Below are 27,809 nucleotides of genomic sequence, written 5' to 3' on the forward strand. Positions count from 1 at the left end.
TTATTTGGGTTTATATACAGTATTTACCAACACAGGAAAGTAGACATATTAGTATTTTCAGCAATAGATAAAAAGGCAAAACCTTTTTTTAACTTAATGAAATCAGGAAATTAACTTAATGAAACCATTCTACCACCTAAGCATTCCAGATACGTAGACTTTACTGTGTCTACTGTTGCGGTGGACAAATATTTATGTTTTGAGCTAAATTTCCACATTTTCTTTTAAAAAAAAGCATTTTTTTTTTTTGTTTTTTGAGACAGGGTCTCACTCTGTTGCCCAGGTTGAAGCATAGTGGCACAATCTCAGCACTACGCAGCTTCAACCTCCTGAGCTCAAGTGATCCATCCACCTTGGCCTCGTAAAGTGCTGGGATTACAGGCATGAGTCACCGCACAGGGCCAAACAAACAAACAAACAAACAAAAAAACACTTAACACTTAAAATAAATCCAAGCCAGTCACAGTGGTGTGCACCTGTAGTCCCAGCTACTCAGGAGGCTGAGGCAAGAGGATCCCTTGAGCCCAGGAAATGGTTTTTCAATATGGTGTGAAGTAGGGATCAAGTTTCATCCCCTCCAGTATGTGTATCCGGTTGTCTCATCTTTTTCACACTGCTCTACTGTTCTACATTTTTTCATTAATTGGGTCCATATGTCCATATTTGAGTGGCTGAGTTCTCTATTCTGTTCCATTGTTCTCTTTGATACCACACTGTCTTAATGAGTATCGTTTTACATTCATGCTTTATATTCATGTCCATATTTGAGTGGCTTTGTTTCTGAGCTTTATATATTCCGTTCCACTGTTCTCTTTGTCTTTGATTCAATACCATACTCCCAGCTATTCAGGAGGCTAAGGCAGGAGAATCGCTTGAACCCAGGAGGCGGAGGTTGCAGTGAGCCGAGGTCGTGCCATTGCACTCCAGCCTGGGCAATAAAAGCAAAACTCCATCTCAAAAAAAAAAAGGGACATAAAAAAAATCTATATTATTATAAACATTGAAGGCAGAGGAGAGTAGACTGAATTTGCATTGACTCTGAAGTCTACATTAAGTCTACTCTGGGTACTCTCCTATCCTGCGCAAATGGCAGATCTGTCTATTTGATCATAGCACTCTCTCCTGGTGATCCTAGGCATAGCCCCACTATCCTCAGAGTAGGGCTTCCTGTCCTTGTTGTTGCTTGAGGTTAATCTTTTTTGCTTCCCTAGTTCTGGGTTGCTTTAGAGCAACATGTGATGTAGGATCCTGTAAGGGATTAACTAGGGCAAATGAAGCTAACATCCTCCTATCCTCTGCCCCACTCCAGATTGGACCTGGACTTTTTCAGCGATAGGGTATCACTATGTTGCTCTGGCTGGCCTCCAACTCCTGGGCTCAAGGGACCCTGATTTTTTTTTTTTAATTGAGTTTAAATTCATATAACATAAATTAACCATTTAAAGCAAACAATTAAGTAGCGTTCAGTACATTCCCAGTGTTGTACATTCATCACATCTATCTAGTTCCATAACATTTCCATCACCCCAAAATGAAACCCCATGCTGATTAAGCAGTCATTCCCACTCCTTCCTCCAACCCCTAGCAACCATTAATTTGCTTTCTGTCTTAATGGATTTACCTTTTCTGGATATTTCATATAAATGGAATCATTCGATATGTTACCTTTTGTGTCTGACCACTTTTACTTAGCTTAATGTTTTCAAGATTCATTTGTGTTGTAGCATGTATCTACTTTCTTTTTATAACTGAGTCTAATGATTTTTTTTAAGGGAGTAAAAATCTATGTACTGTATTAGTACCTGGAATAAGACCTGGAATAGACTGGTGAGGAAAGGATGGTTTTTGGTGTTACCTGGATCAGCCCAAGTTTACATCCTGTCTTTGCTGTTTGCTGACTGAAAGATCTATTAAAGTTAACTTTTCAGTCTCAGGTTTTCTCATTTGTAAAATGAGAAATTTTTGAAGTTTTGGGGATTACCAGTAAGAAGGCATGTACATCTCTAGTGTGGTACCTTGCACGTAGTAGGTGCTAACTAAGTTATTAGGGACAGGCTTGGAAGAGGGGAGGGGCTGCTCCCCTTCCTCTTTTTAGGTCTTTGTGTGAGGGGAGGGGAACAGATGTACTATTATGTGGATTAGGGTCCTAGGGATGTTATCTCTGTGTCACTTTGCCTATTGAATTTATGAAGGAAGGATTGATAGCTTCATTTTGCCTCCTATCCTGCTCTCTCTGGTTTGCTGTCTTCCTGAGACACTTCCTTATTTATTAGAGGCCATAGTAACCATGTCCATTGTTATCCTGGGGCCTTATCCACAAACAACTTTCATATTGTTTTTAAATTAAATTCCAGAATTAGGTGTGTTTTCATATATATACATATATATATATATATATATGTATGTATATATGTATATATACATACATATATATGTATGTATATATGTATATATACATACATATATATATGTATGTATATATGTATATATACATACATATATATATGTATGTATATATGTATATATACATACATATATATATGTATGTATATATGTATATATATATGTGTGTATATATATATGCTCTGTATATATATATGTGTGTATATATATATGCTCTGTATATATATATGTTCTGTATATGTATGCTATATATATAGCATATATATGCTCTGTATATGTATGATATATATAGCATATATATATGCTCTGTATATGTATGAGATATATAGCATATATAGAGAGCATATATATAGAGCATATATATGATATATATAGAGCATATATATATATAGAGAGCATATATATATGCTGTCTGTATATATATATGCTCTGTATATATATGCTCTGTTGCTCAGGCTGGAGTGCAGTGGCATGATCTCAGCTCACTGCAACCTCTACCTCCCAGGTTCAAGTGATTCTCCTGCCTCAGCCTCCTGAATAGCTGGGATTACAGGCATGTGCCACCACACCCAGCTAATACTTGTGTTTTTAGTAGAGATGAGGTTTCACCATGTTGGCCACGCTGGCCTGGAATGCCTGACCTCAAGTGATCTGCCCACCTTGGACTCCTAAAGTGCTGGGATTACAGGCATGAACCACCACACCTGGCCCCAGTTGTTGAGAATTCTTAAGCACATTTTAGAGATTTATTTTATGTTTCAAGGCTTATATGGCTTAAAGGCATCGTTTTAGGGATTACTGGGAAGTATCTTCAAAGTAATACATGAGAAACATTCCTTCCTAAATCCTTTATTATATTGAATATCGTATTAATTGGTTTTCAGAGGTTAAATTAACCATGTATTCCTGCAATAAATGTCACTTGTTTCTTGTATATAATCTTTTTTATATATTACCGGATTGATTCATTAGTATTTTGTTGAGGATTTTTGTGTCTATATTCATAAGAGATGCTGGTCTGCAGTTTTCTTTTTTTGTGATAATCTGGTTTTTGTATCAGTAATACAGCCCCCATGAAACGAGTTGGGAAGTGTTCACCTCTCTTGTATTTTTTCAAGAGTTTGTGAAGAATTGCTATTAATTCTTTAAATGTTTGGTAGAATCTACCATTGAAATCATGTGTCCTGGGCTTTTTTTTGAGGGAAGTGTTCTGATAACTAATTCAGTATCTACTTTTTATAGCTCTGTTCAGATTTTGCTTCTTCCTGAGTTAGTTTTGGTAATTTGTGTATCTCTAGGAGTTTGTCCATTTCATTTATCTCATTTGTTGGCATAAATTAAACTAAATTTGGCCTGAGCCTACCTGTATATCTTGAGTCCCTCTGTAAGGAACTGTAGCCTAACTTGTACATAAACAAACTGAAATCCTAAATTAGGAATGTAGTTTTTGTAACAGCTCCTGAGTCTCAGGCAGTCACAGCAGTCAAGTCTGTCAATTGCAGGCTGCTAACTAAGCAGCCCATGCTCAAATGAGGCAAAAACCTTTGCTTTTAACACATAGTATAGCTTTGTAATCCTTTTCTGCACACTCGGGTAATTTCTTCTTTTTCATTCCTGATTTTCATGATATGAGTCTTCTTTTTTCCCCTCTGTCAGTCTAGCTAATGGTTTGTCAATTTTGTTGATCTTTTGAAGAACAAACCTTTGGTTCCACTTTCTTGTTGCATATGCTGAGTATTCTCATAATTGGAGTGGAAAGCTGATCTTTGATTACTTATTTTACTTAGGGCTGAGGAGTTCATGGACTTCGCAAAACCTCCTTGAATCTAAATTGCATCTTCTTTCCTGGTTTCTGGGCTGATACATGTTTTTTCCCATCTTATATACCCTTGGTCTTTTCATTGGCGATTAAGACTAGAGAAAGTTAGATACCTTGTCCTTTTATGCTGTCATTTTGTTTAAAGGCTTTCTATGTAGTAAAACTATCTATATAGACAAAATAGAGCCTTGAGTTGTGGTCTTGAATTTGATCAACATGATTTACCACATTCTGTACTGGATATTTCTTCACCTGCTGCTACTGTAAACCATTTTATTCTTGGATCTTCTGTAGAGTATATTATCACAGGTACTTTTTACAGGGGTGTCTAATCTTTTGGCTTCCCTGGGCACATTGAAAGAAGAAGAATTGTCTTGGGCCACACATCAAATACGCTAACACTAATAATAGTTGATGAGCTAAAAAAAAAAAAAAAAAGCAAAAAAGTCTCATAATGTTTTAAGAAAGTTTATGAACTTGTGTTGGGCCTCATTCGAAGCCATCCTGGGCCACAGGTTGGATGAATTTAATTGACCCAAAATCATAAGGGTTCTACTAACAGTTGTACTTAACAGTATCTGGGAAGATAGAAACAGGGCCATCTGCCAGGTGTGGTGGCTCATGCCTGTAATCCCAGCACCTAGGAAGGCCGAGTAGGGTGGATTACTTGAGGTCAGGAGTTCGAGACCAGCCTGGCCAACATGGTGAAACCCACCCCACCCCCGCTGTCTCTACTAAAAATATAAAAACTTAGCTAGGTATGTTGGCGGGCACCTGTAATCCCAGCTACTCAGGAGGCTGAGGCGGGAGAATCGCTTGAACCTGGGAGGTAGAGAGGTTCCAGTGAGCCAAGATTATGCCACTGCACTCCAGCCTGGGCAACAAGAGTGAAACTCCGTCTCAAAAAAAAAAAAAGAAACAGGGCCATCTGTCTTTGAGGCAGAGGGATTTACACCCTTGCTAAGACACTAAAGTTTTTTGCTAAGGCACTAAACTTTTTAGGCCCTTCCCCCAGTATTACACATGAGAGATGATAATCAAGCCTTTGTTGCCTATGAGTGAAAAGGAATCTAAAAATCACTGAAATAAATAATAATAGTTTTTCAAGGAATTTCAAAGAAGTTTTTTCACATGGGAAAGGACTGCTAGGCTGGATGTGGTGGCTCACACCTGTAATCCCGGCAATTTGGGAGGCTGCAGCAGGAGGAATGCTTGAACCCAGGAGTTGGAGACCAGTGTGGGCAACATAGTGAGACCCTGTCTCTACCAAAAAAAAAAAAAAAATTAGCCAGGTGTGGTGGTGTGCACCTGTGGTCCCAAGCTACTTAAGAGGCTTAAGTAGGAAGATTTTTTGATCCCAGGAGGTCGAGGTTGCAGTGAGCCATGACTGCGCCACCGCACTCCACCCTTGGTGACAGAGCAAGACCCTATCTCAAAAAAAAAAGAAAAAAGTCTGCTGGTTGTTGTTGGAAATAATCAGTCACAGTGGCATGCTGCCTAACATGCTAAATCCTCACCTGGAAGACTTTAGGACTTTCGGTCAAATCATGCTGTGATTTGACCCTTGAGGCACCCTTGCTGTTTCAGTCATGGAAGTAGTAGATAAAACTTAAAAAACATTGAGACATGTATCTGAGTTCACAAACAAGGTAAACATCTCCTTGGGCTGAGAGGGAATGAATCCTTGGTCCTAGAGGGTTTGGGGTTGGGACAAAGGCAGCCATTTTCAACTAGGGTTTTGTGAGAGAATTAAGCCCTATGGAAAATGATTTGAGTAACTGCAGTTTTTAATTCTTCCAAGTATGGTATGAAACTAGTACCATGCTATATATACACAGTAGATACATTAATTCATTGTATACAGGCATTTGGATTTAATTTTCTCTTTGAACTCTGGTTGAGAAGGACTGGAAATGTTCTATACAGAGGAGATTTTGTGTTACAAGCTGAGAGCTAATGTGGGGCTCCTAGCACTGGTGAAAGGAAGTTGAAAAAAGCTGTCACTAACTGCTGCCTAGAGCTCTCAGTGGTCCATTATGGGAAACTGCTGTCCTTAGGGAGGCCTCATGACCAAGAATCGAATCCAGCCTCACATTATCTTAGTGATTGAGTTTGTGATAACCCCTATATTGCCATAAGGTAAGAAACCTGAACCAAGGCCTTGGGTATCAGATTGGCTGGATAAGGAGGGATGAGCACAGAAGGAAGGACAAAGATAATACCTTTTTCAAGATGAGCCTGTAAATGAAAATTCTAAAATAAATGCTAAGAAGGCCACCAGTAAAAACAGAGATTAAGACATATTTACTCCAGATGAAATTAAAGTAATACAACAGTCTGGAAATTACTTTAAAACAACTTTCTTCCATAAGAAAAAGGAAGTAATAATTTTCTTAAAAAGAACAGAAAATTGTAGAAGAAAAAGAGGCCAAAACAAAACTAGACTAGATGGATACGAAAAATAACTAATTAGAAATCCTGGAAATTGGCCGGGCGTGGTGGCTCACGCCTGTAATCTCAGCACTTTGGGAGGCCAAGGCGGGCAGATCACTTGAGGCCAGGAGTTCAAGACCAGCCTGGCCAACATGGCAAAACCCCATCTCTACTAATAATACAAAAATTAGCTGGGTGTGGTGGCACATACCTGTTATCCCAGCTACTCGGGAGGCTGAATGAGGCAGGAGAATTAGTTGAACGCGGGAGGTGGAGGTTGCAGTGAGCTGAGATGGCACCACTTCCTGGGTGACAGAGTGAGACTCCCATCTCAAAAAAAAGAAAAAAATCCTGGAAATGAAAAAAAAATTGATGTAAACATGTAAATCACAATAAAACTCAGACTGATGCCAGTTAAAGAGAAAATTATAGAATTCAGAAAGAACACTGTGGCTAGGCCTGATGGCTCATGCCTGTAATCCCAGCAGTTTGGGAGGCGGAGGCAGGTGGATTGCTAGAGCCCAGGAGTTCAAGATTATTCTGGGCAACATGGCAAAACCCTGTCCCTATTTATTTTTATTTAAAAAACAAAAACAAACAGACAAAAAATACTGAGTAATCCTACCAAAACCACCGAGATTAAGGAAAAATATATGATGTGCCTCATAATGATGTTTTGTTCAGTGATGGACTGCATATATGACAGTAGTCCCATAAGATTATAATGGAGTTGAAAAAATCCTATTGCCTGGTGACATGTAGTTGTTGTAATGTGTTTGTGGTGATGCCAGTGGTATAAAAGCTCACAGTAATGTCCTAGGACTTCACCTTCACTCACCACTCACTCACTGACTCACCCAGAACAATTTCTAGTCCTGCCAATCTTCATTCATGATAAATGAGTGCCCTATAGAGTTGTGTCATTTTTTCTTTTATTCTGTAGTTTTACTATGCTTATTCTATGTTTACATAGATAAATACTTACCATTGTATTACAGCCACCTACGATGTTCAGTACAGTAACAGGATGGACTAGTTTGTAGCGTAGGAGCAATAGGCTCTACCATGTATCCTAGGTATGTAGTATGCTATGCCATCTAGGTTTGTGTAAGTATGCTTGTCCAACCCAGCTTATTTTGCTGTTGTTCTTGTTCTGTGTTTTGTTTTAGTCTTTTAGCAGCCTAAAGGCATGGTTTTTAGTTTCTGTCTCTAGTGATAAGCGGGAAAGAGGGATGAGGAAGGGTCCTTACTGATCCAACCAGGAACAGAAACTAAGAACCGATGGCTGTATTCTCTCCCTTGGACACCCCTCCATGATGTTCACATGACAAAATGGCCTAACAACACATTTCTCAGCATGTATCCCCTCCCTATTGTTAAGCAGTGCAAGACTGTATATCCTCCACGTCTCACACTCTCATATATGTATGTGTGTTTATTTAGGAAGGAAATAACAAGGTCAACAAAGACTCCTTAGGCTTTAAGGTGGCTGCCAATGGACACTAATTTTGATATACTTTGATATACACACGCATATATATATGAGAGTATGAGACATAGATTGAAAGCCTTCGACGCATATCTGCTGAGAGTTTCAAATAGTCTTCATGAATGTTCAGACACATATAACTTCAGTGTTGATTCAACTGATGGCTTCACTGGGGAACCACACAGAAGAGGTGAATTAAATCCTTAGCAGAATTGCAGCAGAATTGGTTTTCAATTTGAACAGAGTTTGAGTGATGGAGTTGAGACAGAATCTTAGTGAGAATATTAGAGAACTGTTGCTTGCGAGACTTTCTCAGGCATAAGAAGGAAATAACAAGGTCAACAAAGATTTCTTAGGCTTTGAGATGACTGTCAGTGGACACTAATTTTGATATACTTTGCTTTTGCTAGGGTTAGAGGTCATAGTGTACATTTTTGTTTGGCAGCACATCTTGAAATGGTGGACATTTTTCTGTGCTGGGCATTAGCCTTTGTGTTTTTCTTTTAAAATTTCAAATATACTCCTCTGAAGTTTTGAATTATTTTCTAATGTGGGCAAGAGCGACTTCATTACAAAAATTAACTTTGGAAGTCTAAGAAAAGTGAATTTTTTATAGCCTTTAACTTAAATTTAACATCCATTCAAAGGATGATCTGAGTTCCTGGGAGAGTAAGATTTTCAGCAGGAGTAGAAACTTGGATATGATGATACCCTAGAGCCAAAGAGGCATTTAGCATATTTTAGTATACTACTAATACTAAAATTGAGAATTTAGTGTAAAGTTAATTGCTGAATCCTGTCTAAGAAGTACTAGTTATTACATAATATAAAAGACTTTGAAATGTTTTTCCTATTTATAATTATGATGGTCTCTAATGTAGGACCAAATGAACAGTTAGTTAAGGCTCTAGTTAGTATTCATAACTCTGCAGTACTGAGTGAAAAGTTTATATTCTTAAGCTTTTGCAGACTTTTTTTTTCAGATGTTATTATATATGGTATATGTAATTTATCACCATGTTAGATAATATATTAACTGCTAAATTCATGTTTCAAAAATTTTTTTTGGAGGCAGGATCTCACTCTTTTGCTCAGGCTGGAGTGCTGTGGTGTGATCACAGCTCACTGCTGGGCTTAGGCGAGCCTCCTACCTCAGCCTCCCAGGTAGCTGGGACTACAGGTCTGTGTCACCATGCCTGGCAAATTTTTTGTATTTTTTGTAGAGTGGGTTTTGTTATGTTGTCCAGGCTGGTTTTAGTTTTTATTTAGAAATAATTATAGATTCATAGGAGGTTCTAACATCTTTTGTGGGGGAGGCCCTATATACCCATCACCCATTTCTCCCCAGTAGTAACACCTTATATAACCATAGTACACTGTCCAAACAAGGAAACTGACATTGGTAATCTGTGACATCCACAGAACTTATTCAGATTTTACCAGTTTTACATGCTCATATTGTGTGTGTGTGTGTGTGTGTGTGTGTGTGTATAATTCTATACAATTTTATTATGTGTAGATTTGTGTAACCTCCCTCATCAAAAAATTCATTCTGATTATAATTTATTGTACATCTAATTAATGTTTGTCAGTATTTTGGTGTGTAGTATACAGTTTCTGAAAGAAAACTAAAGCACAGAAGATAATATATACCAGAAGCACTAGTGTAACAGAAAATGTCTTTAAACTTATAGAGTTTCAAATGTTTCTTCTGTACATACTTTAGAGAAAAATAATGTGGTATGTAAGTACAAATAAATGATTAAAGTTTTTTATGTTTTATCTTCTCCATGTGTTCTCATGCTATTTTTTGAATATGTAAAAATGGGTCAGTATTTATAAATGTTATTCTTAAGACTTTGTGTTCTTTACTATGCATTTTTAAGCCCACTTTACTGAGGTATGATTGACATGTAAAAAGCTGTACATACTTAATGTATACAATTTGATGAATTTGGTGTTAAGTATACACCTGTGAAACCATCACCACCATCAAGGCCATAGACATATCTATTACCTCCCAAAGTTTCCTCCTACCCCCACTGTTACTATTTGTGGTAAGAAGTAACATAAGATCTACTTTTCTAGAAAATTTTAGGCCGGTTGTGCTGGCTTATGCCTGTAATCCTAGTACTTGGGAGGCTGAGGCAGGTGGATCGCTTGAGCTCAGGAGTTCGAGACCAGCCTGGGTAATGTGGTGAAACCCCGTCTCTACAAAAATTAGCAGGCATAGTGATGTGCGCCTGTAGTCCCAGCTACTCAGGAGGCTGAGGTGGAAGATGGCTTGAGTCCAGGAGGTGGAGGGTACAGTGATCCGAGATTGCATTACTGTGCTCCAGCCTGGGTGATGGAGCTAGACCTTGTCTCAAAAAAAAAAAAAAAAAAAAAAATTTTAACGTTATAATACGGTATTGTTAACTGTAGGCACTATGCTATAGAGAAGATCTCGATAACTTACGTAGCTTGCGTGTCTGAAACTATGTCCTGTCATGTATTTTTTTATTGTTTGTTTTGTTTTGTTTTTTTGAGATAGAGTCTCACTCTGTCACCCAGGCTGGAGTGCAATGGTCTCACTCTGTCACCCAGGCTGGAGTGCAATGGCACGATCTCGGCTCACTGCAACCTCCGCCTCCCAGGTTCAAGCGATTCTCCTGCCTCAGCCTCCTGAGTGGCTGGGACTACAGGTGCGCACCACTATGCCTGGCTAATTTTTGTATTTTTAGTGGATAAAGGGTTTCACCATATTGGTCAGGCTGATCTTGAATTCCTGACCTCGTGATCTGCCCACCTCACTCTCCCAAAGTGCTGGGATTACAGGCCTGAGCCACTGCGCCCGGCCCATGTATTGTTGTTAATTGGTATTGATTTTTATAACAGAGTGCCAGGCACTCTGTGTGCGGTGGTTCCTATTGCCTATATCATTTGTATGCCAATAAGCAAGTTGTTCATAGATTGGATTTTGAGATCCTAAACTGATCACGCATCTCCATTCCTGATATTTTCCAGCAGCTTATTATTTCTGTGGGTGAGATGGTGGTGGTGGTGGTGGTGATGGTGGTACTGAAGGCCATTATAGTGTTATGCATGCTGCGTGGTGAGAACACTTTGCAACATGCCATTATGATTTGTTTTTCATCATTTGTTTTATTTTTGTACTTTTGCTTATTACACTGAATGAGACAGCTACTAGCCGGGATGATAGCAGAGCCTGCTTTTCTCTCTGAGTATACTATCTTTGCTTTGGATTCCTCCAAACATCCTAAAACACAGAGTGACAGTGTGGTGAGTCCTTCCACCGCTTTCTGCATTCCCTTTGTGGGGAAGCAAAGTAATTTGGCAATTGTAGAAGCAAATCTCATGTTACTTGCCACTTACCATCTCTCAAAGTATCTTCAGTGTCCTGTTGCTAACCCTGCTCTAAAAAAATCAGAGAGTAAATTGCTGAATTCTGATGGCTGGTGTGCTTCCTGGTAGCTTTGTAACTGCAACAAAAATAACACTGTTTTCGCTAATGTAGCTACTTCAGTAATGAAGCTACCTTCGCTTACTCTAACCTCTTTTTTTCCTAGGGAATGTTTGTTCATTAACTAAAAAAAGGTATGCAGTGCTACAAATCTCTGTTCTACTATTGATGGGCGGTTAAGAATATTTTGAGATATGACTTACATTTTTAGGGGAAAAATTCGTTGTTATGTAAATCCATAATTAAACAGCATTGAATAGGTAGGTAGATTCTACTGTATTAGATAATTGCATCTTATTTTGCAGTTACCTGTTTTTTATATATTAAACATCTGAAAGAGAATTGTCTCATTTGTTTTTAAGTGACTGGCGTCATACGGTTTTGAATCTTGTATGTAATTTCATTTTGGGAAAGTGGACATTTTCCTATTGAAAGTATCTGGTAAGCTCATAATTTAGCAAATTAAAGTTTAGAGATGTTTGTCCAGTAAGGATAGCCTTTGGTGTTAAACACTGACTCTACTGGGATTGAGGTTTTTCTTTCTTTTTTTAAAAAATTGTTCCACAAATCTATTTATTAATTACAAAAACAAAAGAAAAGTTTACAATGGAGAAATGTGGCAAACACCATTGGATTGAGGTTTTTCTAAACAATAAGAATTGATTTAACTTATTAGGTAGCTGGTGATGGAAGTAGAACATTTCGGTACTTGAACCATGTAGCCAGTGAAGACTTGGTATGCATATGGCCAGTAGCAGTCTTAAATTACATTGTAAACTCAGTTTTAGAAAAGAAAGCAGCTAGGGAGATAATGGGATTTCTAGTGATGGCTTAGCTTGGGTCTCAGGGAAAAGTGGTCTCTCCTTGGCTCTGGCTACAAGTAATATCTCATTGTTTTAAAAACTGATTTGGGAGGGAATCAGAAGTCCCAATTAGAGAGACTTGTTTACTGTTTTTATTTATTTATTTATATTTGTTTGAGTGGGGTCTCATTCTGTTGTTCAGGCTGGAATGCAGTGGTACAATCACGGCTCACTACACCCTCAAATCCCTGGGCTCAAGCAGTCCTTCTTCCTCAGCCTCCCAAGTATGTGGGACCACAGACATATGCCACCATGCCCAGCTCATCTTATTTTAGTCTTTTTAGAGAGAGAGTCTCAGAATATTGCTCAGACTCATCTTGAATTCCTGGCCTCAGGTGATCCTCTTGCCTCAGCCTCACAAAGTGCTTGGATTACAGACATGAGCCACTATGTCTGGCCCAATTTACTTTGAAAAGCATAAAATAATATTGCTTTATATTTTCATGTAGTAGTAATAGAAGCTATTAAAAAAAAAACCGTAAAGGTTCTCCTAGGGCCACTTCCATAAGTACATTAAAGTCATTTGTATTGAGTACTTATTCTGTTGTTGAAAATGCTAATAATGTTAAAGTGGGGCTTTAAAACCTTTTTTTTCTTTTGAGAGAGAACTTTTTTTTTCTTTTGATACCCAGGCTGGAGTGCAGTGGCACGATCTCGGCTCACTGCGACCTCTACCTCCTAAGCTCAGGTGATCCGCCCACTTCAGCCTCCCAAGTAGCTGGGACCACAGATGCGCACCACCATACCTGGCTAACTTTTCTATTTTTAGTAGAGATGGGGTTTCGCCATTTTGGCCAGGCTGGTCTGGAACTCAGGCTCAAGTGATCCACCTGCCTCGGCCTCCTGAAGTGCTGGAATTACAGGCCTGAGCCACTACGCCCAGCCTAGTCAGAAACTTATTTCTCCCAATGGAACAAGGGAAACCATAGCATATCCCATATTAGAATAAAAATTTAGTGAGGGTCTAATCCATTACAAGTTCAGTAGGTACTGACTTTTGCTTAGTTAAGTTTTTTGAAAAATGCAGCTGTTTACCCCAAATTCTAAAATTACCGTAACCTTGGTGCTCAGCAGTCAATGCAATGGTTGTTGAAAGATTGAAACAATATGTAATTGAAGACAAGTCTGTCAGGGAACCTGTGTGTGCTTTTAAGTTGAATATACTTTAAAAGAGTTTTTATCTAATTTTCCCCTGTAGAAAGTATTGGTGAGTTTTGAGTATTGACATGTATTGAGCTAGTTCTACAGGCACCTCGCTAGGGGAAAGCCTTCAGAGGAAGCAACTGCATAAGGATTTAATAAGCATTTATTGAGCCCTTACTACTAGTCAGGCAAAATATTAGGTCATGGGGACTAAGATGAAAATGGTAGCATTCTCACCATGGGACACGTTTACCTATGTAACAGACTTGCACATCCTGAACATGTACCCCTGAACTTAAAAGTTGAAGGGAGAAAAAAAGAGAAGAAAATGTAGGGCTCTGTCCTCTTGAGAGTTTATAGTTTACTTTGGAGACAAACATGTCAACATACACTTAAAGTACAAAGGAATTAAGGCTTCACAGAAAAAAAAAATAGGCATAAGGAATGTGTTAGCCTTCCAGGAACCGTATAAAACTTCACATACAGAGCTTCACAAAATTTGAAAGCTGAAAGATGTACAAAAGTTTGGCACAAATGGAGAAGGCATTACAAATAGTGACAGATCTCTAATTTTACTTCTAAATATTCGTAATGTAAATTCACAGGGCAACTTAGGCCAGTACTTTTCATAAGCTATCCTGCATTTATTTAGATATGTGGTTTAGTACATAAATTGAAATATATATATGAGGAGAAGTTTTTAAATGTTGTTCTCTGTGTGCTTAATGGGGTGATATTTCAAACAATTGTAGGGTAGCTTTTTTTTTTTTTTTTTTTTTTTTTTGAGGCAGAGTCTCGCTCTGTCACCCAGGCTGAAGTGCAGTGTTGTGATCTCAGCTCACTGCAATCTCTGCCTCCCAGGTACCAGTGATTCTCCTGCCTCAGGCTCCCAAGCAGCTGGTATTACAGGTGCTCGCCACCATGCCTGGCTAACTTTTTTATTTTTAGTAGAGATGGGGTTTCACCATGTTGGCCAGGCTGGTCTTGAACTCCTGACCTCAGGTGATCTGCCTGCCTCGGTCTCCCAAAGTGTTGGGTTTATAGGCATGAGCCACTGAGCCCGGCCAGTTGTAGCTTTTTTTTTTTTTTTTTTTTTGAGGTGGAGTCTCACTTTGTTGCCCGGGCTGGAGTGCAGTGACACCATCTTGGCGCACTGCAGCCTCTGCCTCCAGGATTAAAGCGATTCTCCTGCCTCAGCCTCCCGAGTAGCTGGGACTACAGGTGCCTGCCACCACGACGTTTTTATAGAAAATATAATTTTTATATTTTTAGTAGAGATGGGGTTTCACCATATTGGCCAGGCTGGTCTCGAACTCCTTACCTCAGGTGATCCACCTGCTTCGGCCTCCCAAAGTGCTGGGATTACAGGCATGAGCCACAACACCAGCCCAGTGTAGCTTTTTTGTATGGACCACAATCATGTGTCAAGTCATTTACTTAAAACAGAATATGGACTCTTGCTGTTCTTCCTCTTAAGCTAAATATTTTATGGAGCCCCTTCATTTCCTTTCTCCATAATTTGTTTATTAATTTTCAGTATATTAACTGGCCAAGAGAATTGTTGATCTCTGTAAAGTATATTTTGTATTTTATGCAATTGTCCCCAACCTTTTTGGGACCAGGGACTGGTTTCATGGAAGACAGTTTTTCCATGAACTGGGGGCACAGGGATGGTTTTGGGATGATTCGAGCGCATTACATTTACTGTGTACTTTATTTCTGTTATTATTACATTGTAATACGTAATGAAGTAATTATATAACTCGTGACAATGTAGAATCAGTGGGAGCCCTGAGCTTGTTTTCCTGCAACTAGATGGTCCCTTCTGAGGGTGATGGGAGACAGTGACAGATCATCAGGCATTACATTCTCATTAAGACCACGCAACCTAGATCCTTCATATGCACAGTTCACAGCAGAGTTCGCACTTCTATGAATATCTAATGTCACCACTGATCTGACAGTAGACAGAGCTCAGGTGGTAATGCGAGTGACGGGGAGCAGGTGTAAATGCACATGAAGTTTCGCTTGCTCACCCACCGCTCTCCTGCTGTGTGGCCCCGTTCCTAACAGGCTATGAGTTGATACTGGACTGTGGCCCAGAGATTTGTGACCCTTGCTTTATAGTATGTAGTATATTATATTTTTAGACCTAGAAGGCATTCATTGTAATGTCACACAGGTAGATGCCATGTAGGCAACTGGAAGATAAAAGTTAATTCCTATGTTCTCCCAACCTTTCTTCCCCATCTAACTTTAAGGAAATGTCTTAGACTGATGAAATTTGATAGCTTTTTATTAGAGGGAAGAGGAGGTACTTAAAGTTTGTCTTTATTAGGGAAAAGTTGAAACATATTACAAAAGTGGAAATAGTAGTAGTATTGGTACAAGAACCCCTCCCCATATCTATTACCCAATGCCAATAATTAATAACTCATGGCCATCTTGTTTTATCTATTAGCCTACCCCTACACTTCCCTGACCGTACCACTACCATTTTGCCTACTTGTGCAGCTCCCCCTGGCTTCCCCACTCCCACCCCATTGGATATTTGAAGCAAATTTCAGAAGTTCTGTTCCATCAGTAAATATTTTGGTATATATCTCTAAAACAGTGCTTCCCAACCTCCAGGCACAGGTCCGTGGCCCTTTAGGAACTGGGCTGCACAGCAGGAGGTAAGAGGCAGGCAAGCAAGTGAAACTTCATCTGCATTTACAGCTGGTCTCCATCACCCGCATTACCACTTGAGCTCTGCCTCCTGTTAGATCAGTGGTGACATTAGATTGTCATAGGAGCGTGAACCCTGTGGAGAACTGTGCATACGGGGGATCTAGGTTGCATGCTCCTTATGAGAATATAATGCCTGATGATCTGTCACTGTCTCCCATCACCCCCAGATGGGACTGTCTAGTTGTAGGAAAACAAGCTCAGGGCTCCCACTGATTCTATATTATGGTGAGTTGAATAATTATTTATTATATATTACAGTGTAATAATAGAAATTAAGTGCACAATAAATGTAATGCATTTGAATCATCCCAAAACCATCCCTGCACCCCCGGTCTGTAGAAAAATTGTCTTTCATGAAACCCGTCCCTGGTGCCAAAAAGGTTGGAGACCACTACTCTAAAAGATAAAGATGGTTGGGCATGGTGGCTCACACTTGTAATCCCAGCATTTTGGGAAGCTGAGGAGGGCAGATCACCTGAGACCAGCCTGGGCAACATGGGGAAACCCTGTTTCTACAAAAAGTACAAAAATTAGCTGGACCTGGTAATGCACACCTGTAGTCCCAGCTACTGAGGAGGCTGAGGTGAGAGGATCCCTTGAGACTGGGAGCTTGAGGCTGTAGTCAGCTGTGAGCATGTCATTGCACTCCATCTTGGGCAATGGAGCAAGACCCTGTCTCAGAAAAAAAGGATTAAAAAATTTTAGCCACAATATTATTTATCACACCTAAAAATTAATAATTTCCTACCATCAAACTACTTAATCAATGTTCAAAAAGTAGAAAACACGTTTGCAAAACTGAGCACCTTTTTCACTTAAGAATAAGTTAGGTCAGATATTTGCCTTTCCTTGGTCAGCTCTAGACCAAGGGGAAATGCAAGATGTAACTACTGAAACATAGTGGTTGGCATTTGGTGGAATATTTTTGTTTAAAACATGGAAGTTATTTTATCATGAGTTACTTCTATAGTTCTAACTAATTTTAGTTAGACAATGTATTATAAATGCAGTGTAGAATTTTGAACCTCAAAGAATCTCATCTAGTATCATGAAATCTATGCCAGTATGATGTAATCAGTAGAATGTTGCTTAACTGGGAGCCTTTGGCATACCAACAGAACAGAACAAAACAAAAATCTTTCGCGTGTGGAAGAAGAGGTTTTTAAGTTCTTCTGAAAATTATCATTTCATTTAGATTGCTAACTTCAAATGAATGAGACATTACCGTTTCTTGCTATCAAGATATTTTTCAGAGCTTAGCCCAAATAATTTTGAGTATTATTTTATTGTAGGAAAAAATTGAAATTACTTCCTTTTCTGGATAGTTTTCTGTTTGAGTGAGATTTGTGCATTGATTCCCTGATGTTGATTTTTGTTATGGGGGAAAAACTGGGGACATAATGGGAAGAGGTATGTGACTAGCTTGAAATAGGTTTTTCTACATACTAATCTTTGCTATTGAGTTCTGTGTATTACAGCAAAATGAATTTTCTAAAATACTTACCATACTACAATAGTTTTGCCTTGCATGAAAACATTCTAATAAATGAACAATTACTAATTTTGTTTAATAGATAAATGTATCTGATAGGTCTTGGCACATGGGCTTTATTCTTAACAGTTTTAAACCTTTAGTTTTTTGTTCTTTTGCTTTACAATGTTTCTTTCTTTTTCTTAGAATGCATCTACTCATGCCTCGAAATCTCCTGACAGTGTTAATGGAAGTGAACCAAGCATTCCTCAGGTCTGTTACTAATTGTTATTTTAGAAAATAACAAGTCATTTCAGAGTGTTGGTCAGTCTGTGTTAATTATTAGCATCTGACTTTACATTGAAATGGTGATGTCCAAATATTCAGTACAGTATATATGGTAAACACAGGTTTGCTCATGGTTTCTTGGAAAAAGTTTTAAATGAAAGCAAGACTGTATTATTTCTCATTTTAAAAATTAATGCAAGGCCAGGCACTGTGGCTCCCGCCTGTCTGTAATCCCAGCACTTTGGGAGGCTGAGGTGGGCGGATCGCTTGAGGCCAAGAGTTCGAGACTAGCTTGGCCAACATGGCAAAACTCTGTCTCTACTAAAAATAGAAAAAGTCAGCCAGGAGTGGCGCATGCCTGAAATCCCAGCTACTTAGTTGGCTGAAGCGTGAGAATCGCTTGAACCCAGGAGGCATACGTTGTCATGAGCTGAGTTTGTGCCACTGCACTCCAGCCTGAGCAACAGAGTGAGGCTCTGTCTCAAAAAAAAAAAAAAAAAGATAATAATAATAATTATGAGAAAGTGAAAACTTTTTGAAAAACTGTGATCTGAGTTTATAGTTATAAAAGATCATGGAGGTAGCCATATTGAGAGACATACTGAGTTATATAAGGTGGAAGGGGAATATGAAGGAATGAGATCTTTTAAAGTATTCTCTACTTTAAAGTGTATTTTACTACTAGAGTTTAGGTTGTCCTTGATTTTAAAAAGTTATTTATAAAGAGGGGCTCAAGTCATTTTTTGTTTGAACCCCTCCAAAAAAGGAAGAAAAAAAAATCATTATGATAGCAGGCTGGGCGCAGTGGCTCATGCCTGTTATCCCAGCACTTTAGGAGGCTGAGGTAGGTGGATCGCTTGAGACCAGGAGTTCGAGACCAGCCCAGCCAACATAGTGAAACCCTGTCTCTACTAAAAAAATACAAAAATTAGCTGGGTGTGGTGGTGTGTGCCTGTAATCCCAGCTATTCAGGGGACTGAGGCATGTGAATTGCTTGAGCCTGGGAGTGGAGGCTGCAGTGAGCTGAGATTGTACCACTGCACTCCAGCTTGGATGACAGAGTGAGACCCTGTCTCAAGGAAAAAAAAAAAATTGTGATAGCAGTGTTGGAGATGAACATTTGCTGACTTTGGTTTTAGTGATGACTATTATCATCATCCTGGTTGTTCTTAGTAGTCCCTAATGTAAAATAGTATTATTTCTAATTCTGTGAACCCAGGGCATGAGTCTAGACAAGTTGATTTATGAGCTGAATGATTTGTGAACTAAATTACATAGACAAAACATTCGGAAGTATTGTCTAACAAATGTTTAGGGCCGGGTGCGGTGGCTCATGCCTGTAATCCCAGCACTTTGGGAGGCCGAGGTGGGTGGATCACAAGGTGAGGGGTTCGAGACCAGCCTAACCAACATGGTGAAACCCCGTCTCTACTAAAAATACAAAAAAAAATTAGCTGGGCGTGGTGGCGGGTACCTGTAATTCCAGCTACTCAGGAGGTTGAGGCAGGAGAATTGCTTGAACCCGGGAGGCGGAGGTTGCAGTGGGCCGAGATCACGCCACTGCACTCCAGCCTGGGCGACAGAGCGAGACTCCGTCTCAAAAAAAAAAAAAAAAAAAAAAAAAAGAAAAAAAAAACCCCAAAAAAACAAATGTTTAAATGAGCTTCCCAAACTCTGTGGACAGGTGTCTTGTGAGCTTAGATCCTCATAACTGTCAGTGAGGCTGGTCAGGTTGTGGGAACAGCCCAAGTCCCTGGGTCTGTTGACTCTAGTCTTGAGCAGCCACTCCAGTTAATCCCAAATTCTCTAGAAATACATAATTTTCTATAAGTGCCATGAAGTAGGGGTAAAATATTGGGAGGCATCAGTCTAAACAGCACTGTACAGAACATATCCAGTGATCTTTAAAGAATATCATTGGCCGCGGGCTTCGTTTGTGAGGAAGGGGGCCTAGGCCCGGGCCTGCGGTGGTGGGGGTTGCTGCGCGCCGGGGGTCGCTCCTGCTGTGTCTTCCGCTCCAGCTTCGCCCACTTCCCCTTGCCAGCGGGGTGGGCGCGGAGAAGACCTGCCGGAGCCATGGAGGACGAAGTGGTCCGCTTTGCCAAGAAGATGGACAAGATGGTGCAGAAGAAGAACGCGGCTGGAGCATTGGATTTGCTAAAGGAGCTTAAGAATATTCCTATGACCCTGGAATTACTGCAGTCCACAAGAATCGGAATGTCAGTTAATGCTATTCGCAAGCAGAGTACAGATGAGGAAGTTACATCTTTGGCAAAGTCTCTCATCAAATCCTGGAAAAAATTATTAGATGGGCCATCAACTGAGAAAGACCTTGACGAAAAGAAGAAAGAACCTGCAATTACATCGCAGAACAGCCCTGAGGCAAGAGAAGAAAGTACTTCCAGCGGCAATGTAAGCAACAGAAAGGATGAGACAAATGCTCGAGATACTTATGTTTCATCCTTTCCTCGGGCACCAAGCACTTCTGATTCTGTGCAGTTGAAGTGTAGGGAGATGCTTGCTGCAGCTCTTCGAACAGGGGATGACTACATTGCAATTGGAGCTGATGAGGAAGAATTAGGATCTCAAATTGAAGAAGCTATATATCAAGAAATAAGGAATACAGACATGAAATACAAAAATAGAGTACGAAGTAGGATATCAAATCTTAAAGATGCAAAAAATCCAAATTTAAGGAAAAATGTCCTCTGTGGGAATATTCCTCCTGACTTATTTGCTAGAATGACAGCAGAGGAAATGGCTAGTGATGAGCTGAAAGAGATGTGGAAAAACTTGACCAAAGAAGCCATCAGAGAGCATCAGATGGCCAAGACTGGTGGGACCCAGACTGACTTGTTCACATGTGGCAAATGTAAAAAGAAGAATTGCACTTACACACAGGTACAAACCCGTAGTGCTGATGAACCAGTGACAACATTTGTTGTCTGTAATGAATGTGGAAATCGATGGAAGTTCTGTTGAGTTGGAAGAATTGGCAAAATATCTGGACCATTAAGAAAACGGATTTTGTAACTAGCTTTAAACTAGGCCAAGCAACTAGTTTTCCTGCAAATCAAATTTTTAAAGCAACTTGAGTTAGACTTTGTTTTTGACCTAACATCCCTTCCTTAAATGCCTTCTGTAGTTTCAGATCAGTAGGGAGACCATATAATAATTGTATGGTACCTGTTTCAAAACATATTTTTTCTGTTTTTATAAGTAAGTTGATATTAATTAAACTCTTGGCAATATTTCTTCTTTCTTAAAGGAAAATACACCTTAACTTTTTTTCTTTTACACTGTGAAACATACACAGTAGAAATTCTGTTACTCTCTGTTATTAATACATAAATGAAAATACTTTTTTTTCCATATTGGCATGTAGCTACAAATATTAAAGGAGGAGAAAAGGTAATATAATTTTAGGTTTACCAAATATGGTGTGTATTCAAATAATACTTGACCAGCTTATCTAAAATGTACATAATTTTGAGGTAGCTTATGAATTTGATTTTAATTATTATGTTCACAAGCTTGGAATATTAGATATTATTTTGCATCTGTAACTAACCGTGATCATCATCTCTTGTAATTTCTTGTACATGTATATTACTTGTTCTTAATAGATTTTTGGAAACAAGACTTTATTGAGATCAGTTTGGTTTTCCTGTTAATTTACCTGTTTGACTTTATAATGTGTTTTAGTTTTGCAGAAGAACACTGTTGTAGTTTAGAAGGCTTTTCATAAATCCCCTCATAGGCAAAGATGAGAACTTCCCACTATTTTTTTCCCCTCTTAGGAAGACATACTGGAAAGAAAATGTTTAGCATCTTAGTGTAGTATAGCTATTGTAAACAGTTCATGACTAGATTTTGATTCGGAAATCTATACTGACCAAGGATTAATCTTAAGGACTGTATAATTCATTAAAGCGGTGGTCTTTCCATGTGGAGACTGATAGAAAATAATTTTGTCCCAAGTCTTATTTGCTGACTTTTTCTGTCAATGAGTGAGATTGTTGAACAAACTGAATATATGGGCTATAGCAAGTAGCTTTACAGTACAGATCTTACAATTAAGTTTTGCTTTTGTTAAAGTGTGTACCATTTTTTCTGTTTGGAGTAAGACAAAAATTGTTTTGACATAGGTTCCCTAGGGTACACTTGCTCTAGCATACTTTAAAGGCCACTGTTGCAAAGTCTACATTTTATGCTGAATCTGCATTCTGTCAGGCACCCGTAGAAAGACCTCAGTACATGCTTTGCACTCTCCTTTGCTCCCTTTTTCCAATTTCTTATTGCATATCATTTTGTTGTAATACAGAAAGCAGCATTTTTAAATGTCCATGTTAAGAATTGGCCCACTGGTACCGACTCACCTCTATTTTGTCAGTTCATAGTTGAAGATTTTGTTTTATTTCAAAAACAAAGTACATTTTTGAAATAATGTTTCAGAATAAAATAATCTCACTTTTAAATTAAGTGATCCATTTTAAAATTTGTAATTCAATAAAGTTTTTTTTGTTGTTAAACATAAAAAAAAAGAATATTATTAAAGAGTATGATTTAAAATGCATATTTTCTTTTCTTTTTTTTTTTTGAGACAGAGTTTTGCTCTTTTTGCCCAGGCTGGAGCGTAATGGCGTGATCTCAGCTCACTGCAACCTCTGCCTCCCAGATTCAAACGATTTTCATGCCTCAGCCTCCTGAGTAGCTGGGATTGCAGGCACCTGACACCACGCCTGGCTAATTTTTTGTATTTTTATAGTAGAGACAGAGTTTCACCATGTTGGCCAGTCTGGTCTTGAACTCCTGACCTCAGGTGATCCACCCGCCTTGGCCTCCCAGAGTGCTGGGATTACAGGGATGAGCCACCACACCTGGCCTAAAATCCATATTTTCTTCTGTCACAGAATAGTCCAAAAAGACTAAATATAGTTATGGATACAAAAACTTGAATGAGTCAACTTTATAACAAATTCAGAATTTTAATTAAGGTAAAGAATGAATGTAGGTGATATTCAGGAAATAAGCTCACTGAGGGCTTTGCACTTTCTTAAATATTACAGATATTTTCTTAAAAAGTGATAAAAATGGTATTTATTGTGTACTGTGTATTAGACATATATGAAACATTTTACATATATGATCTCATTAATTCTCATAACAAAAAGATGCCTTCACTCAGTTTGTTTACTTTTTTTTTTTTTTTTTGAGACAGAGTCTCTCTGTGTCACCCAGGCTGTAGTGCAGTGGTGCAGTCATAGCTTACTGCAGCCTCAAACTCCTGGGCTCAAGCAGTCCTCCCACCTCAGCCTTCCAAGTGACTGGGATTACAGATGTCAGCCATCACGTCTGGCTTGTTTACCTTTATTTTAAACAAATTTCTGAAAAGTTGATTGTTGAGTTTAGCAAATTAAAAACAATGTATATACACAAAGACGGGGGGATGCTTACTATGTTTGAGCATATTGACAGCAGCAGGAAACCATAGTTGACAGCAAGGTTGAAGACATGGTAAAAAGCACATCCTAGAGTTCTTAAAACATAGCAGCCTGTGGACCCTCTTATTACTGGGGCAAAGTATCCTATAAAGATTGAACATCCCTAATCCAGAAATCTGAAATCCATGTGCTCCAAAGTCTGAAACTTTTTGAGTACCCATATGATGCCACAAGTGGAAAACTTCACACCTCACCTCGTGATGAGTTGGAGTCAAAACACTGGTGTACAACATAGTTTATTCAGTGTTCCTAAGAGAAGAAAGCTTCCCCCCGCCCTCTAGCTGTAAGATGATCTTTTCCAGGCATACCCAGATTCTCTCATGCGAGCATGCCCACAAAGCGTAATACAGTGGCACATGTGCAGGCCAGATGGCGCCAAGGGCAGGTTCCCCATGATGCTCCACGTGGGGCCAAGACTCATGTGCTTTACTTGCTGTGTTTTTTTTCCTTCTTTTCTGCTCTGTTATATGAAGATTTGTTGAAAATGTTAAAAAGTCCTGCAGAGGCCCAGCGTGTTGGCTCACACCTGTAATACTGGCACTTTCGGAGGCTGAGGTCGGCAGATCACCTGAGGTCAGGAGTTCGAGACCAGCCGGGCCAACGTGGTGAAATCTCCTCTCTACCGAAAATATAAAAATTAGTCTGGTGTGGTGGCACATGCCTGTATTCCCAGCTACTTGGAAGGCTGAGGCACGGGAATCACTTGAACCCGGGAGTTGGAGGTTGCAGTGAGCTGAGATCACGCCACTGCACTGCAGCCTGGGCAACAGAGAAAGACTATTGTCTCAAAAAAAAAAAAAAATTAAAAAGCCATCCTGCAGAATGCCTCCTCCTTCCTAGTGGATCCATTTCCTGGTCCCTCAATTGCTTCCGGTGTTTCTTCTTACCTAAAAAAAGAAAATACAGTGTAGAGTAACCGTTCAATCAAAACACAGCATCGTAGATAGAGACTGAAAGCTTACCATTGTTTGTTGTTGCTGTTGCTTAACAGCTATTACAGATATTCTGGTGATACTACTGTGCTGCTTAGTTACCCTGAACACATTTTGTTTTACTGTATTAATGGTATGTCATATATATATATTTCTTTCACTGTGAAGTACTTATGGGTGAATAAGCATAAGAAAATTATTGCTTATCAGTAGCATGTAAGTTCAGAGTCAGGAATGATGGTGGTGCCAGACAACCATAGATTGTATTGGTGGCTGAAATTGTGACACCTTTGCTTTCTGACGGTTCAGTGTACACACTTTGTTTCATGTACAGAAATGGTGAAAAATATGATATAAAATTACCTTCAGGCTATCTGTATAAGGTGTATATGAAACATAAATGAATTTCGTGTTTAGACTTGGGTCTCATCCCCATGATGTCTCACTATCTATATGCAGATACTCCAAAATCTGAAAAAAATCTGAAATCCAAAATACCTGGTTCCAAGCTTTTTGAATAAGGAGTACTTAGTCAAAATGAGTTCACAATATACATATTGTTTTATAATTTGACCTTTCCCATTTAATAGTATATCTTGAACTTCTTTCCATATGTTATTGTTTATTTTTAAATTTTTTTTGAAAATACTTTATAGACCAGGACATACTTTTCAAGTTGCCTTGGGGAGTGCTCTCCATATACTATAATTTATAAACTGTATCCTCTAGTGATAAACATTTGGGTTGTTTCCAGTTTTTACTCTTTTAAACCACCTGTGATAAATTTGTGTGTATGAAGGTATGGGACATATTATCTCCTCTTACTCCTACCTTGCCCAATATTATTAAATCTCTAGAATCCGTGAGCAAAACATTTCTGTTTTGATTTTTCAAACTCTAGACTGAAGAGAATCTTTTTATTTTCCTGTATTTTTTGCCTACACATGACCTCAGTTTCCCTGGAGTATTTCACTCCTGGCACCTTTGAGATCTTAGTGACCCGGTTGTTAACTAATGAGAATGAGCTTCTAGGAGACATCAGTAAATATTGACTGCTGTGACCTGAACAAAATAATACTGCTTAGAACAGTTAGTTGAATTAGGTCATATTATTTTTCATTGTGACTAAATTAATTTGTTATTCCAATTAATTAGGAGAACAGGTCTTCCTTATCACTGTCTAACATTGGAGTTACTGATTTGTGCAGAGGGACTCTAACTCAGACCTTTCAACTGTCCTCCATGATTTGTTAATGCTTATTTTTATTCCTAGTAGACAAATGGTAAGTAGAGCAGAGTTGGCTGTTACTAGTCAACTCTGCCTCACATTCCCTTATTAAACAAAGTGGGTTCATTACACATTACCCTCCCCCCATCCCAATTCCCCTCTTTTCTTGGGAATGATCAAGAATTACCATGTCCATAAAGACCCTCCAGATAAAGCCCACTTGAGTTCAGTTACACACTTCACATTTCATGGTATATACCTACATTTTAGACACTGGGTATGCACTGTTACAGATGGTGTATGGAGATGGTCACTACCTTCAAGGATCTCACAGTTTAGTGGATGAATCCTCACAATACACCTGTGAGGTCGGCTGGGAAAGTACTGTGTTTTTCTTTCTTCCAGATGTGCAAACTGAAGGAAAGTGACTTACTGAAGGGCATTCTACCTCTAGGTGACAGACCTGGGACCTGCACCCCAGTCCTCTGACTCCAGGTCCAACACTGTTTCAGCAATAACCAAGTGTTTTGTTTTTCAGAAAACAATGTATTATGTAAAATGTCAGGAATATAAATTCAACTTGTTAGAACTTTTATTAGATTATTGCTGGTGATGGGGTAATGGAAGTCTAAATGTATGTATTTTAATCCACACATTCTGTTGGGTTTTGGTTGCAGTCAGGTGACACACAGTCTTTTGCACAGAAGCTCCAGCTCCGGGTGCCCTCCGTGGAGTCTTTGTTTCGAAGTCCGATAAAGGAATCTCTATTCCGGTCTTCTTCTAAAGAGTCTTTGGTACGAACATCTTCCAGAGAATCCCTGAATCGACTTGACCTGGACAGTTCTACTGCCAGTTTTGATCCACCCTCTGATATGGATAGCGAGGCTGAAGACTTGGTAGGGAATTCAGACAGTCTCAACAAAGAACAGTTGATTCAGCGGTTGCGAAGAATGGAACGAAGCTTAAGTAGCTACAGGGGAAAATATTCTGAGGTAGGAGCATGACCTTTTTGCCTGTACAAAAATTTCTTCCCCTTGTTCTCTCATTCATATTACTGTATTGCTTTACTCCTGTGATTGGCTAAACTGTTAATTCTCTGGATATATCCTGGTTACTAATGGTATGTAGTCTGTGGCATTATCTAGTTAAAGACTCTCAATATCTAGTTAAGTAAAGACAGAGGCCCTTTGGCAAGACTCAGTAAAATTTTGGAGAAGATTGTTGTCTGTAGCCTTCTGGTTCTTATATTCTGTTCCCCTCTCCTTTCGTAGTCCCTCTGTTCAAGGTCACTTGGACACCCAGTGTGGAGTTCATCTTCTGGCTCATATCCTCTCCTTTATTCCTCTCTAACTGATGCGGCTCCAAAATGACCTCATCTGCCAGTGAGAGTCCCATTATTACTGATTCTAAAATTGTTTTAGGTAGCCTGATTATTTGACAGATTTGGTTCATTCTCATTGTACCTACATTTAAACCTTTGCCTTGGATGAATCTTTTCATTGCTAAACCCTTGAGAATGACACTCCCTGTTTGGTCTAAGGGAGGAAGGAAGTCAATGCTAGTCCATTTCACTTTTCAATCCTTTAGGAATGTAGCACCTTCCTTTCAGGCTAAATTTTATTTGTTGCCCTCCCTCAATTCCCTCTGCATCCTATGCAGTTAAAACAGTTCTTTCTCAGGAAAGCTTTTTTGGAGTAAGTTGTCCATATTTTTTTGTTTGTTTATCTTAAAATGTGTAATGTTTTATTGTCTTATGGTTTGCAAATCACCATTGTAGTTAATTTTAATTAATGAATACTAAAGTTCAGAGTCAGTATATTAAAGATAGTTGTAACTTCTGTTTCCAATTATGACTACAATATGAGTAATTTTATCCTACAACCAAAAACAAAACAAAACAACCCAAATGAAATATACAAGATAAGATATCTTTTTAAACTGTGAAGTGCTGACAAAATAGGAAGCAATTATCAGGCTTAAATATATAGGCTGGCTGGAACCCACCCAGAGATATAAACAAGGCACTAAAGCCATGTATGTCAT

The 27,809-nt window shown here is 38.9% G+C and overlaps 1 protein-coding gene and 1 pseudogene across 22 annotated transcripts in view; both read left to right on the forward strand.

Moving 5' to 3' along the window:
• Positions 1-27,809, forward strand: part of GOLGA4 (golgin A4) — a 123,609-nt gene that overhangs the window by 12,244 nt on the left and 83,556 nt on the right. For 9 of the 22 annotated variants that reach the window (XM_047447981.1, XM_047447980.1, XM_005265069.4 and 6 more), the window contains 3 exons: positions 11,328-11,426; positions 18,022-18,087; positions 26,444-26,758. In XM_047447981.1, coding sequence (XP_047303937.1) covers positions 11,328-11,426; positions 18,022-18,087; positions 26,444-26,758 — 480 coding nt within the window. Of the gene's footprint in view, positions 1-11,327; positions 11,427-11,713; positions 11,742-18,021; positions 18,088-26,443; positions 26,759-27,809 lie in introns of all 22 variants that reach the window. The other 13 variants (XM_005265074.2, XM_047447985.1, NM_001429191.1 and 10 more) reach the window with 3 other exon arrangements.
• On the forward strand, positions 20,023-22,638 carry TCEA1P2 (transcription elongation factor A1 pseudogene 2; annotated as a pseudogene).

The sequence above is a fragment of the Homo sapiens genome, chromosome 3 (genome assembly GCF_000001405.40).
Source record: "Homo sapiens chromosome 3, GRCh38.p14 Primary Assembly".
Taxonomy (NCBI): Eukaryota; Metazoa; Chordata; class Mammalia; order Primates; family Hominidae; genus Homo; species Homo sapiens.